The sequence below is a fragment of the Homo sapiens genome, chromosome 21 (genome assembly GCF_000001405.40).
Source record: "Homo sapiens chromosome 21, GRCh38.p14 Primary Assembly".
NCBI lineage: Eukaryota > Metazoa > Chordata > Mammalia > Primates > Hominidae > Homo > Homo sapiens.
The window spans coordinates 46,323,871-46,338,049 of NC_000021.9; the positions used below are offsets into that span (position 1 = coordinate 46,323,871).

A 14,179-nucleotide genomic window follows, 5' to 3' on the forward strand; every position below is an offset into this window, starting at 1 on the left:
GCCGCTCGGCCAGCCTGGCAGGGGATTTTAAAATCGGCCAATCACAGCGGGCGCCAGGCCTCCGCTTTCCGCTTACTGGTCCTGCCGTAGGAGGCGGGTACGTGAGCGCACCAATCTGTGGCCGGCGAGCGTAAAGGGCGGGGCTCCGCCCAGGCTGCACCGCCCAGAGCGCGCGTGCGCGAGACCGGAAACGCAGCCCCCTGATTGGCGGCGCGTGTCGGGGGCGGGGCCGCGGCTGCGTGACAGTTGTCGCGGGGGGAGGGCGAGCCCAAGCGCGGGGGAGGGAGTGTAAATAGAGCGAAGGCTGCTCTGTGTCAGCCCCGTCACCGCCGGGCGGCCCGCGCGGAGTCTGAGGGAGATGGAAGTTGAGCAAGAGCAGCGGCGCAGAAAGGTGGAGGCCGGGAGGACGAAGGTAAACATTAGGGGCTTCTTCTCTAGCTGCTCTGGCGTGAAGTCCTAAGGGCGGCTCCGGTGCCCGCCACCGCCCCCTGCCAGGAGAGGACGCGGTCCGGCGGAAGCCGCCGCGGAGGTCTCGCTTTTTCCCGCCGGCTCCGCTGGAAGCCGCCTCCTGGCCGCCGCCATCTTGAATCCGCCGCTCTCCGCCAGGTCCCGCCCCCGCCGCGGCCACAGCCAATCAGCGGCCGGGACGCGCGGCGCCTCTCGGGCGGGCCGGGGCGGGGCTGCGCCTGCGTCGGGGGGGGTGGGGCGCGGGCTGGGCGCGGTGCACGCCGGGGCGGGGTGTGGCTGCAGGGCGGGGCTACAGGGGCGTGGCGTGGCTGCACGGAGGGGGTGGGGCGCGGCAGGCGCTGGACCCCAGGCTGGATCTTCCAGTGGCTCCCGCGTCCTCCGGGACCGGGTGGCCTGGGGCGGGCGGCCGGTATTCGGGTGGCTGCTTGGTCTAGGGCCAGTTTCCTGCGCGGCCGGGGCCGGGGGCGTGGCGCGGGTGGCCTGCAGCGCCTCCCCAGGGTGCGCCTTCGCCTCGTCCGTCGGAGATGCTTTCCCCGCGCGTTTCTCGCGGCGTTGCAGTCCTTACTGTGTGAAAGGCCCCCGCGGCGCTCCCGGCCGCCGTCTTCTTCCCGCGCCCTTGGGCTCGCGTCCTGCCCGTCCGGGCCTGGCGTACGCTGCCGGGAACCCACGCGGCGCTGGCGCCGGGCGCCTTCAAGGGACGCGCTCCCGTCTTTCTCCCGCCCCGGGTTTCTCCGTGAAAAAGCGCTCGGTTTGATGGCCACTGTCCTAGGTTTCGTGGGAATAAAGCGCGCAGAGCCCATGACTCGGGGGCAGGAGAAAGGGAGTCCCGAAAGCGCGAGGCGGAACCGCGGGAGCAGGCCGGCCTCTGCGAGGTGCGCGCCGCTCCCCCCCAGGATGTTCTGGCTGGGGTGCTGGGGAAGAGCGGGGCTCCCGGGCACGGCGGACAGGGGACGCGGGGCTAGGCCGGGGAAGGGCTGAGGCGGGCAGGAGGGGAAGGGGAGCCCGGAGCCTGCAGGGAGCTGCGAACAGGAGCAGAGCTCCCAGGAGGGTGGAGGGGGGAGGGAGGGACAAGACGCCGCCTGTAGGGCGACGCAGGCCGCAGACCAGGTCTGTGCTATATCCCGACATGGATAGGTGTGGTGGAGGAGGACATGAAAATAAACGACATGAGGTTGACTTTGAAGGAAATATTTCCTTGAGAGACCATTTTCTTGTGTAAATGGCCTTGTGTAATTTTTCTGGGTCCATGAGCTTGTGTACTTGTGTTATCATTTACACAAATGTGTGTTCCATGCGTTTGTTTTTGTGGCCACAGTTGTCTTTTGAGGGAACAGATGTCTCCCCGTGAAAGGCTGATGTGGGATCGATCGCATACCTCTTGAGTAAGACGTTAGCGGGAGATGAGGCTCGCACATAGTCTCAAACTCTCGGATTTGAGGACTGAGCAGAGCTAGGCTGTGCCTTCTGATGGGCGATGCTCTGTGGATGTCCCTGGTGCTTTGGTGAGCTGTGTCATGAAAAATAGAACATCTGATTCCATAAAGGAAGATGTGAGATTGACCTGGCTTAATTAATTTTTTGCTATTTCTGTATCTTGTCTCAGAATCTATGGCTAGGAAGTTTTGGCTGGGCTATATATTTCTTCAGTTGGGGGAAAATTGGGGCAAGAAGGGAGAGATTTAGCTTTTATATCATTTTAAAACTTAAATATGCCTTGATTAAGCTATCAATCTTTTATACAAATTTTTTTTAAAGTTTTATTTTTCTGTAAACTGCCAAGGGCTAGGAAAGCTATTCTGCCAATCAGCCGTATGGTTTTCTTTACCAGGCATAATTAGCAGTCCTCATTGTTAGACCCCTTGGATATAGATATTGATGAAGGCAGTGTTTGTGGAGAGCCATCTGTTGGCCAGGTGTGGCAGAGTAGACTGGGTCAGCCCTCGGGCCTCATGGTCCCCACCAGTCTGTTGACTTTGTGGTTCTGTTATTTTTTTCTCACTTACCTTTGCCTTTACTACTTATCTACATTTTTGCGCAGCTTGCTCACTTCCGACAGAGAAAAACAAAAGGTGACAGTTCGCATTCGGAGAAAAAGACGGCGAAGAGGAAGGGCTCGGCTGTCGATGCGTCTGTCCAGGAGGAGAGTCCGGTAACCAAGGAGGACAGCGCACTCTGTGGAGGAGGGGACATTTGCAAAAGCACATCATGTGACGACACCCCTGATGGGGCAGGAGGGGCCTTTGCAGCTCAGGTAGATTTGCTCAATGTTGTATTTGAACATTTCGCTTATCTTCTAGTGATTTCTAGTGTGATTTACTAAAGATGGTCTTTGGTCTGTTTTTGCCTTTCAAAAGTGAGGAAAGAGGGTGTTATTTTAGTTTATAAAAAGTGAGGGCCGGGTGCAGTGGCTTACGCCTGTAATCCCCGCACTTTGGGAGGCCGAGGCAGGCGGATCACCTGAGGTCAGGAGTTCCAGACCAGCCTGGCCAACATGGAGAAACCCTGTCTATACTAAAAATACAAAAATTAGCCGGACATCTGGCGCACACCTGTAATCCCAGCTACTCGGGAGGTTGAGGGAGGAGAATAGCTTCAACTTGTGAGGCAGAGGTTGCATTGAGCCGAGATCACGCCAATGCACTCCAGACTGGGTGACAGAGCGAGACTCTCTCTCAAAAAAAAAAAAACAGTGAGTAAATTTTTATGGTTTTATTCTTTTTATTTTATTTTTTATTTTTTTGAGATGGATTCTCGCTCTGTCTCCCAGGCTGGAGTGCAGTGGCGCGATCTCGGCTCACTGCAAGCTCCGCCTCCCGGGTTCATGCCATTCTCCTGCCTCAGCCTCCCAAGTAGCTGGGACTACAGGCGCCCGCCACCACGCCCGGCTAGTTTTTGTATTTTTAATAGAGGTGGGGTTTCACTGTGTTAGCCAGGATGGTCTCAATCTCCTGACCTCGTGATCTGCCCGCCTCGGCCTCCCAAAGTGCTGGGATTATAGGCATGAGCCACCGTGCCCGGCCTATGGTTTTATTCTTAATAAATTTGGGTTTTCTTTTTCTTTTTTTTTCTTTTGTTTGTTCCAGACAGTGTTTTGCTGTGTTGCCCAGCCTGGAGTGCAGTGGTGTGATCACAGGTCACTGCAGCCTCAAACCCCTGGGCTCAAGTGATCCTCCCTCCTCAGCCTCTTAAAGTGTTGGGATTATAGGCATGAGCCACTGCGCCTGGCCCTGTTTTATCTTTATTATGTAATTTTGAGAAGTTTTGGATTAACTACTTGAAGACAAGTGTCAGTTGTTTGCTTTGTAATGGAAGACTGGGAGTTCTTCGTGTGTGGTCGTGTCAGCCCCTTTGATGGGTGTTTCTTGGGACATTTAAAACATAATATTCCTTCACATAGTTGTAAATGCACCTGCTTGTCACATTTGTCTTTTACCTTTTTACTAAACGTGAGATGAAGAGGGAAGGGGTGAAGGTGTTGCAGACATGGTGTGTTGCTGGAGGAGACTGGGTCTGCTGCTTGAGGCCTTGTGAGCTGCAGGGGCACCCCCATGGGCAGGTGTGGCAGGTGAGTGCACACTGAGTCCTGAAGGGGCTGGCCTTCCGGGCTCCTTGGGGGCCTACAAACCTGCCTGGAGGCGGGCTGTCCTTGGGCCTTTTGTATGAATTATGAACGAGGGCCTTAGGTGTTGAGTGTCCCTGCTGCTGCAGCAGAATGGGTGCAGGCTTTGATGTTTGCTAGGATTTGCTGGAAAACTGGTGGCCAAAGGCAGAATCTGGCTCAAGGTCATAATGTATGTATCCTGCTTTACTTAAAAAATTGAGTTGTTGGCAACAGTTAAAATTTGTGTTATTCTACCTACAAATCCTGAATTTTGCTTTTTATCTCTTGAGTGTTTTTGGTTGTTGGGTTGGTGTGTTTTTTTTTTTTTTCCCGTTTTCTTTTTAAGATACAGTCTCTCTGTTGCCCAGGCTGGAGCGCAGTGACGCGAACTCTGCTCAGTGCAACCTCTGCCTCCCAGGCTGAAGCGATCTTCCTGCCTCAGGCTCCCAAAGTGCCAGGATTACAGGATTTCTGCCACCTTGCTGGGCAGAAAGTTACTTTTGATATATTCTGGTTGCATATGTTTTTTGGTTTTTTTTGAAATGGAGTCTCACTCTTTTGCCCAGGCTGGAGTGCAGTGGTGCAGTCCTGGCTCACTGTAACCTCTGCCTCCTGGGTTCAAGCGATTTTCCTGCGTCAGCCTCCCGTGTAGCTGGGATTGCAGGCGCCTGCCACCAAACCCAGCTAATTTTTGTATTTTTAGTAGAGACAGGGTTTCACCATGTTGGTCAGGCTGGTCTTCAACTCCTGACCTCAAGCAATCCACCCACCTTGGCCTCCCAAAGTGCTGGGATTACAGGCGTGAGCCACTGCACCCGGCCCTCTGGTTGCACATACTTTTTTTTTTTCTTTAAGGCGAAGTCTCACTCTGTCATCCAGGCTGGAGTGCAGCGGCACGCCCTCTGCTTCCTGCAACCTCTGCCTCCCGATTTCAAGCGTTTCTCCTGCATCAGCCTCCCGAGTAGCTGGGATTACAAGTGGGCACCACCATGGCCGGCTAATTTTTGTATTTGTTTGGTTGAGATGGGGTTTCACCACATTGGCCAGGCTGGTCTCGAACTCCTGACCTCGTGATCCACCTGCCTCGGCCTCCCAAAGTGTGGGGATTACAGGCGTGAGCCACTGTGCCTGGCCTGCATAGACGTTTTAAAAGTAGTAAGCTGATAAATATATGTGGGAATCTCAGGATCCTATCAGAAAACCATTCCAAACTTAGCACATTTTGTGGTAAATTGTATTTGGAGACTGATGGGTCGTTAACATTAGAAGGCATGGTATAGACTCCTGATTAAACACTCATACTTTGCTGTTTCATCAGGTAGAGACTCTCTTAGTTTCTAACTCTGCTATTTGATGCATGCCTTCATTCAGGAAGATGATCTGATGAAAAGCATTTTGATTTTTGTTTTCAAAACCAGAAGGGCATATACCAGAAAATTAACAGTGGTGGTCAGAAAGGAATAGAGTTGTTGGTTTTTTCGTTGTTATGGTTTTTGGTATTTCCTACAATAAACACATTAGGTTACTTATATAACATTTTTTTTCATTTTAGAATTAACTATACCACTAATAAAACATGTATTTTGGACATCTTAAAGCAATCTATAAATAACAGGCCCATTACTGGTCCCCTTGACTTAGAGATGCACACGCACACTCACTGCACTTGCTGCATTTTGTGTCACCTCCTCGTGACCACAGTGGACAGGACACTTCACCCTCAAGCGTGGGGTGGTGTGGCAGATGTGAGGAGAGGTCTGCTTTCACAAAACTTGGTGAAACAATGGCAAGATGGCCAAGGTAAAGCATTCTGTTACTTATAACTGTTGCTGTGAGTAGTAACTTAACTGTTTAAAGCAGTATTTTAAAAACCAAAAGCTGGTAAAATGTAAGGATACTTTCTCTAGGAAAAGTATGTGCTCCTGCAGCCAGGATTCTTCATGGAATGAAGGCATGGCAGGGCCTGACTGATTTTCATCTCACATCGTCATCCTGAACTCCTCTGCACAGTTACAGCTTGACATCAGCAGAGACATACCTCCTCTTCCTGTCCATTGGCTCTAAAATGGTGGGCAAAGGTCAGGTACCAGTCAGCTTTTTCCACAGAATTCCTGACATTTTAATAAGCTAAACATGCAGTCATCAGGTATTAACCCCTATTGGATCTTGGACATCAGCTTTTTCCCCCTTTTTTTTGAGATAGGGTCTTGTTTTCTTGACCAGGCTGGAGTGCAGTGGCGCAATCATGGCTCATTCCAGCCTTGACCTCCTGGCCTCAAGTGACCCTCCTGCCTCAGCCTCCCTAGTACCTGGGACTACAGGCATGTGCCACCATACCTGGCTAACTTAAAAAAAAATTTGTAGAGACAGTGTTACACTGTGTTGTCAGGGCTGGTCTCAAACTCCTGTGCTCAAGTAATTCTCCCACCTCGGCCTCCCAAAGTGCTGGAATTATAGGTGTGAGCCATCCCACCTGGCTAAAATTTATTTTCTTTATACATGTATAGGTAAACTAAGTAGTATGTGTAGAATAGAGCCATTGTCTTTCTGCTGTACACTAAGTTAGGAATCAAATTTCTTAAGCCATTTTGTCAATTATGTATATAAAAACCATTGGTGCTTTAGAAGCAGATATTTCATTAACTTTTTTCTGATTATATCATTGTACATCATCAGTTCAGTCTAAAAAGGAGTTTTTTTCATATGTATTATAAAATATTTCATGATATTTGAGTTTAGTATGCCTTTAATCCAGTTGTAGATGTTAAAATAGGAGTAATTTTGTGTTCAAAATAATGATCTTCTGAAAAGTGAAATTCTAGGAAAGAGTCCACTGTTTAAAGCTAGCAGCTGGTGGCCGTGTGGCCGAATAATGTCCCAGGCCAGGGCACTCCCCTCTCAGATGGTTGGTCATGCTGCGTCGGAGATCAGGAATCCTCAAGGAACCTTTATGTTATAGTTGTACCAGTGCTTTAAACATAATGAAAGGTGCATTTGTTTTATTTTACCCATCTATAAATTGTGAGAGGTTTGGCTATGGAGAGTCTAGTGAGCTTATTGAACAGCATAAGAAGATAAGTGTGTGTGTTTGTGTGTGTGTGAGAGTGTGTGTATGTGTGTGTGAGGGGGAGGGAGAAGTTATTGTGCTTTCCAACATATAATAAATTGCTTACTTTGATCACTAACTGTTAGGTAAATACTGATGATTTCTAGCATAAGTCTTTTTTCTTTTTTTTGGAGACAGGTCCTCCCTCTGGCGCCCAGGCTGGAGTGCAGTGGCCCAATCAGCTTACTTCAGCCTTGACCTCCCTGACTCAGGTGATCCTCCCACCTCGGCCTCCCAAAGTGCTGGGATTACAGGCATAAGCCGCTGTGCCCAGCTGATATAAGACATATTTTTAACCAACTTTAAGATCTTAGTTTTTTTTCAGGATGGTTATAAGCGAAGGTAGAATTGCAGAAAGACTTTGTGGTAAATATTCAGGATTCGGCTCTGTTGCCTTACAATTTGTTAAGTGCATGATGGAAAAATAGTTGAAACAATGCAACAGCTGTCTCAGTTCTGAAAGTTAACTCAGAAATGGCAGAAAGCAAGGTCAGGCATGGTGGCTCCGAGCACTTTGGGAGGCCAACGTGGGAGGATGGTTGAAACTCTGTCTCTATGAAAAATATAAAAATTAGCTGGGCATGACAGTGCACACGTGTAGTCCCAGTTACTCAGGAGGCTGAGTTGGGAGGATCACCTGCGCCCAGGAGTTTGAGGCTACAGTGAGCTATGGTGGCACCACTGCACGCCAGCCTGGGCGGCAGAGCAAGGCCTTGTCTCAAAAAAAAAAAAATCATAAAAATAAAGCAATGGTAGAAAGCAGAATTTGACCTTTCAGTTACAGATGAGGAACAAAGTGAGGAGAGGCCATTTTTTGGTAAAAGAACCATCTGGCGGGACGCATTGGCTCATGCCTGTAATCCCAGCACTTTGGGAGGCCAAGGCAGGAAGATCACCTGAGGTCAGGAGTTCGAGACCAGCCTGGCCAACGTGGTGAAACCCCATCTCTACTAAAAATACAAAAATTAGCCGGGTCTCATGGCAGGCGCCTGTAATCCCAGGTACTCGGGAGGCTGAGGCAGGAGAATCACTTGAACCCGGGAGGCAGAGGTTGCACTGAGCCGAGATCGCGCCATTGCACTCCAGCCTGGAGGACAAGAGCGAGACTTTATCTCCAAAAAAAAGAGAACCATCCAAAAATTGCTCAGAGGTCAAGAATTTCAGAAGAAAATACAAAAACTTTGGCTGAAGAAGATTTAACTAGTGCTATAGAAGGCTTAAGAAGTGTGGTTCTAGCACTTTTCCAACTCATATTTGTATCAAATACCAGGAAAAATAGTTATCACCATTTATCATCTAGATTTCTGGGCCGTTTTACTGTTTTGTCATTTTAAGTTGTTTTACACGTAATTTACAGAAGTAAGAATAAAGCAATAATTTAAAACAACTTTATAAGAAATTTGATCCAACCTCTTTGTATCAAGTAAGTTTTGACACACAAACATTAGAAGTGTCCTCTTAAGGAAGTGGATGGTCCAGGTTCCTTTGAAGTGTGATCATTCATGTGAGCGGGCAGCTGATTGAGACTACTGTGTCCCCTTTTCGTCCCTCACTTCCTCTTGATTCTGAGAAGATTGATCTAGGGTATTGTCAAATGAAGACTTGTCTGAGATTTTATTTTCACGTCAGTTTTGCCATCATCATTGGCCATGGGTGCTCTCTCTCTGCATTCATCTTGTGACTCATCTAATGATCCCGAAAAGTCGACACTGTCATGTTTCTTTGCTATTTTGGGAAGAAATTGAAATGTTCTTAGTGAATCATCTTGTTAAAGCAAGCTAATCTGGGCACTGTGGCTCATGCCTGTATTGCCAGCATTTTGGGATGCTGAGGTGGGAGGATTGCTTGAGCCCAGGATTTTGAGGCCAGCTTTGGAACATAATGAACAGAGACCCTGTCTCTACAAAAAAATAAAAAATAAGCTGGGCACAGTGGCGCATGCCAGTAGTTCCAGCTACTCAGGTGGCTGAGGCAGGAGGATCACTTGAGCCCAGGAGGTTAAGGTTGCAGTGAGCTGGGATTGCACCACTGCACGCCAGCCTGGGTGACAGAGCAAGACCTTGTCTCAAAAAATTAATTAAATTTCTTTTTTAAAGTAGAATTCATGGCCGGGCGCAGTGACTCACACCTGTAATCCCAGCACTTTGGGAGGCCGAGTTGGGCAGATCACAAGGTCAAGAGATTGAGACCATCCTGGTCAACATGGTGAAACCCCGATTCTACTAAAAATACAAAAATTAGCTGGGCATGGTGGCACGCGCCTGTAGTCCCAGCTACTCAGGAGGCTGAGGCAGGAGAATGGCGTGAACCCGGGAGGCAGAGCTTACAGTGAGCTGAGATTGTGCCACTGCACTCCAGCCTGGGTGACAGAGTGAGACTTCGTCTCAAAAAAGACAAAAAAGAAAAAAAAAATTAGCCGGGCGTGGTGGCATGCGCCTGTAGTCCCAGCTACTCGGGAGGCTGAGGCAGGAGAATTGTTTGAACCCGGAGGCGGAGGTTGCAGTGAGCCGAGGTCATGCCACCAGCCTGGGCGACGGAGTGAAACTTTGTCTCAAAAAAAAAAAAAAATTACAGGCTGGGCACGGTTACTCACACCTGTAATCCCAGCACTTGGGGAGGCCGAGGCGGGTGGATCACCTGAGGTCAGGAGTTCAAGACCAGTCTGGCCAACATGGTGAAACCCCCGGGAGGTTGAGACAGGAGAATCACTTGAACCCAGGAGGTGGAGGTTTCAGTGAGCCGAGTTCGTGCAACTGCATTGCAGCCTGGCAACAGAGCAAGACTCCGTCTCAAAAAAAAAAAAAAAAGTAGAATTCATTAAGAAGAGGGGCAGGAACATCATTAGGGAAATTACTTGCATTATAAAAATGTTTAGAGCTGGCCAGGTGTGGTGGCTCATGCCTGTAATCCCAGCACTTTGGGAGGCCAAGGCGGGCGGATCACGAGGTCAGGAGATCAAGACCATCTTGGCTAACATGGTGAAACCCTGTCTCTACTAAAAATACAAAAATTAGCTGGGCGTGGTGGCGGGCACCCATAGTCCCAGCTACTAGGGAGGCTGAGGCAGGGGAATGGCGTGAACCCAGGAGGCGGAGATTGCAGTGAGCTGAGATTGTGCCACTGCACTCCAGCCTGGGCGACAGAGCAAGACTCCGTCTCAAAAAAAAAAAAAAAAATGTTTAGAGCTTGGGAATTGTTAATGCGGAAGGTGCACGTTCTGAACAGGTGGAAGTGAGCTCTACTTGTTAAATGAAGTCAGCACAGGCCTGCAGATAGAGGAGCTGGGAAGGGCCTGAGGCTGCAGCCCTAGACCTTGCTTTAAATGCTTCTTTCTGGTCCTCCCCTTCTTAGCCGGAGGACTGTGATGGAGAGAAGAGAGAGGACTTGGAACAGCTGCAGCAGAAGCAAGTCAATGACCATCCTCCAGAGCAGTGTGGGATGTTCACAGTCAGTGACCACCCACCAGAACAGCATGGGATGTTCACAGTCGGTGACCACCCACCAGAACAGCGTGGGATGTTCACAGTCAGTGACCACCCACCAGAACAGCATGGGATGTTCACAGTCAGTGACCACCCACCAGAACAGCGTGGGATGTTCACAATCAGTGACCACCAACCGGAACAGCGTGGGATGTTCACAGTCAGTGACCACACACCAGAACAGCGTGGGATCTTCACAATCAGTGACCACCCAGCAGAACAGCGTGGGATGTTCACAAAGGTATTCTTTAAGTTCTCTGTTAAGGTGTATTCTTTGTCAAAAGATTTCTTTATGTTGTAGAAATCCAAACCAGTGAGAGGACCTTCCATCTCTGCAGGGCCTCTCTTTAGAAGTGGAAACTGGAAGCATAGAGAGCTGGAGGCAGAGGCTCACCCTGTAGGCCCCACGTGCTGCCGCCTGCACGTTCTTAGTGTTGCCTGTGAATGGGAAGCCTCTCTTCATACCCTTCTCCCTGAGCTCAAATCTGCCTCCCTTGTGATCTTCCTTTTTTGTTTTTCCCATGGGACATTGAAGAGAAGCCACCCTTCATAAGTTTGAGGAATGTCATGAATTCCCTTTATTCTAGTTGCCCTTGTCGATTGACTCACCTGTCTGTTCAGCCTGTTTCTTAGGCCTGGTACCTCGTTTCTCACATCATCAGTTTGTGACTGGAAGTCCTGTGCCAGTTGAGAGCCTGGCAGGGCAGGGAGGCTGTGGTCAGTCTGCATGTCCCTGGTTTCTGCCACGTTCCTGGTGGGATGAATTCCATACGTGTTGAGTTGATTACCTTTATTTTATTGACATGTTTTTTGTTAGCATGTGGAGGAAAACATTAAGTTTGGAATTGACTACTTTTGAAGTGTTATGTTAAAAGCATATATTTTAGGCTGGGCACGGTGGCTCACGCCTGTAATCCCAGCACTTTGGGAGGCCGAGGTGGGCGGATCACGAGGTCAGGAATTTTAGACCAGCCTGGCCAATATGGTGAAACCCCTCTCTACTAAAAATACAAAATTAGCTGGGTGCCACTGCACTTCAGCCTGGGAGACAGACCGAGATTCCATCTCACAAAAAAAAAAGCCTCTATTTTAGCCATTTGATTCTAGCTAGACTCAGTTCACACTGCTTTAGGCAAGTTTGGTTGTTTTTTGGTTTTTGGGGTTTTTTTTTTTTTTTTAAATAGAGACGGAGTCTTGCTCTATTGCCCAGGCTGGTGGTGCGATCTTGGCTTACTGTAACCTCCGCCTCCTGGGTTCAAGCGATTCTCCTGCCTCAGCCTCCCAAGTAGCTGTGATTATAAGCACCCACCACCATGCCTGGCTAATTATTGTATTTTTAGTAGAGACAGGGTTTCCTCATGTTGGTCAGGCTGGTGCTGACCTCAAGTGATCTGCTCGTCTCAGCCTCCTGAAGTGTTGGGATTACAGGCGTAAGCCACTGCACTTGGCCGGCAAATTGTTTGTTTTTTGAGATGGAGTTTTGCTCTTGCCCAGGCTGGAGTGCAGTGGCGCGATCTCGGCTCACTGCAACCTCCGCCTCCCAGGTTCAAGTGGTTCTTCTGCCTCAGCCTCCCAAGTAGCTGGGATTACAGGAGCATGCCACCACGCCTGGCTAATTTTTATATTTTTAGTAGAGAAGGGGTTTCATCATATTGGTCAGACTGGTCTCGAACTCCTGACCTCAGGTGATCCTCCTGCCTTGGCCTCCCCAAGTGCTGGGATTACAGGCGTGAGCCACTATGCAGGCCAAGTTTAGTTTTTAATCTGCATTATTGCAGGAAAGATCTAACTCCTAGGTGAGGCCTGGAAGCACAGTCTCTGGTGGGTTCTATAAAACCCACTCTTCATTTATTTATTGACTTCTTGGGACCGGGTCTCATTCTGTCCCCTGGGCTGGAGTATGGTGGTGCCATCACAGCTTAGTGTAGCCTCAACATTTTGATTCTTAAGTTGTTGCAGCTCTGTCCGTGGGGAGCCCCTTCAGGTGGCTCCTGTGTCATGTGTTTGAAGCACATCCTGGCTTGTGACACTGCAAGTTGGTGCCGCAGGCTCATCGTGTAGGCCCTGTCTCCGTTCTGAGTCCGCTGTTTCTCCAAGGAGTCTTGGTGCCTTTTACTAGATTATGGTGTTGAGACCAAGACCTGGGCTCTAGGTGTGCTCACTCCTGCTGGGATGTTGCTGCTGCTTCTGGGCTCTCTCCGTGGACAGAGTGAGGAAGGGTGTGCCTGGGAGCTAGTCTGTGTGTACACTCATAGCTGTATTTATGTTCATTTGTATTTATAGACATATATGTTAAATAGGAATACATACTGATACCTCAGAGCCTAATCCAGCACCACAGAGTTCATTCTGCCCTCCCCCCCAGGTTTATTTGCAGTTTCCTTCTCGGATAGTGAGAAGCCTGGCTCTCACTTCTGCCATTTATTTACTTTAAAAAAAAAAATTAGAAGGTTGTTTTTTTTGTTTGTTTGTTTGTTTGTTTGTTTTTTTGAGACAGTCTCGCTCTGTTGCCCAGGCTGGAGTGCAGTGGCAGGATCTCGGCTTGCTGCAGCCTCTGCCTCCTGGGCTCAAGTGATTCTCCTGCCTCAGCCTCTCTAGTAGCTGCGATTACAAGTGCTGCCACCATGCCTGGCTAATTGGGGTTTCACCATGTTGGTCAGGCTGGTCTCCAACTCCTGACCTCAGATGATCCACCCGCCTCAACCCCCCAAAGTGCTGGGATTACAGGTGTGGGCCACCACGCCCGGCCCCATTTATTTACTTATTTGTTCAACTCTCCTGTAAGTGTATAATAGTTTCAGAATTAGCAACCCACATCATATAAGAAACAAATTTACCAAGTGGATTTAAGTGTTTGTTTACAGCTCCTTTGTCTCCATTTTCAGTTTCCAGTCACAACTGTTTTCCAAGGTTACTCAGGTCACTCCTCTCTTCCCCAGCCCTTCACTAAGGTTGTGTCTTCACTGGTGAGTATGTAGTCAGGTTCATTGGTCACTGGCTACTTCCTATCCTGGGATCCCACAACATCCTGGTCAATTTTTTAAAGTTGCATACTGTTTTGTTTTGTTTTTTGAGATGGAGTTTCGCTCTTGTTGCCCAGGCTGGAGTGCAGTGGCGCGATCTCGGCTCTCCGCAATCTCCGCTTCCCGGATTCAAGCGATTCTCCTACCTCAGCCTCCCGAGTTGCTGGGATTACAGGCATGCGCCACCACGCCTGGCTAGTTTTGTATTTTTAGTAGAGATGGGGTTTCACCATGTTGGTCAGGCTGATCTTGAACTCCCAACCTCAGGTGATCCGCCCCCACCTCGGCCTCCCAAAGTGCTAGGATTACAGGCATGAGCCACCGCGCAGACTGTTTTTTTTGAGACAGTGTCTTGCTCTGTTGTCCAGGCTGTAGTGCAGCGGTACAATCTTGGCTCACTACAGCCTTGAACTCCTAGGCTTAGGCAGTCCTCCCACCTCAGCCTCCCAAGTAGCTGGGATTACAGGCACGTTCCACCACACCTGGCTAAGTTTTGTTT

At 49.4% G+C, this 14,179-nt stretch overlaps 2 protein-coding genes across 3 annotated transcripts in view, besides 3 other annotated features; both read left to right on the forward strand.

Annotated features, from left to right (window-relative positions):
- Positions 19 to 348: a silencer, noted in NCBI's record as "silent region_13419". NCBI's record gives its function as "represses an Ori minimal core promoter by ATAC-STARR-seq in GM12878 lymphoblastoid cells {active_cell/tissue: GM12878}" and the evidence as "EXISTENCE:reporter gene assay evidence [ECO:0000049][PMID:35858748]".
- Positions 286 to 14,179, forward strand: part of PCNT (pericentrin) — a 121,614-nt gene continuing 107,720 nt past the window's right edge. The window contains exons 1-3 of one of the 2 annotated variants that reach the window (NM_006031.6): positions 286 to 412; positions 2,507 to 2,719; positions 10,527 to 10,898. In NM_006031.6, coding sequence (NP_006022.3) covers positions 359 to 412; positions 2,507 to 2,719; positions 10,527 to 10,898 — 639 coding nt within the window. In that variant the 5' untranslated portion in view covers positions 286 to 358. Of the gene's footprint in view, positions 413 to 796; positions 1,341 to 2,506; positions 2,720 to 10,526; positions 10,899 to 14,179 lie in introns of those variants that run through there. The other variant, NM_001315529.2, reaches the window with a different exon arrangement.
- Positions 619 to 1,078: a silencer, noted in NCBI's record as "silent region_13420". NCBI's record gives its function as "represses an Ori minimal core promoter by ATAC-STARR-seq in GM12878 lymphoblastoid cells {active_cell/tissue: GM12878}" and the evidence as "EXISTENCE:reporter gene assay evidence [ECO:0000049][PMID:35858748]".
- Positions 2,418 to 2,621, forward strand: LOC128092249 (uncharacterized). Its single transcript, NM_001414902.1, has one exon. The coding sequence runs from the start codon at positions 2,418 to 2,420 to the stop codon at positions 2,619 to 2,621; it is 204 nt and encodes a 67-aa protein (NP_001401831.1).
- Positions 3,154 to 3,326: a silencer, noted in NCBI's record as "fragment chr21:47746938-47747110 (GRCh37/hg19 assembly coordinates)". NCBI's record gives its function as "represses an EF-1alpha promoter that drives an FKBP-Casp9 reporter gene in an ReSE screen in K562 erythroleukemia cells {active_cell/tissue: K562}" and the evidence as "EXISTENCE:reporter gene assay evidence [ECO:0000049][PMID:32094911]".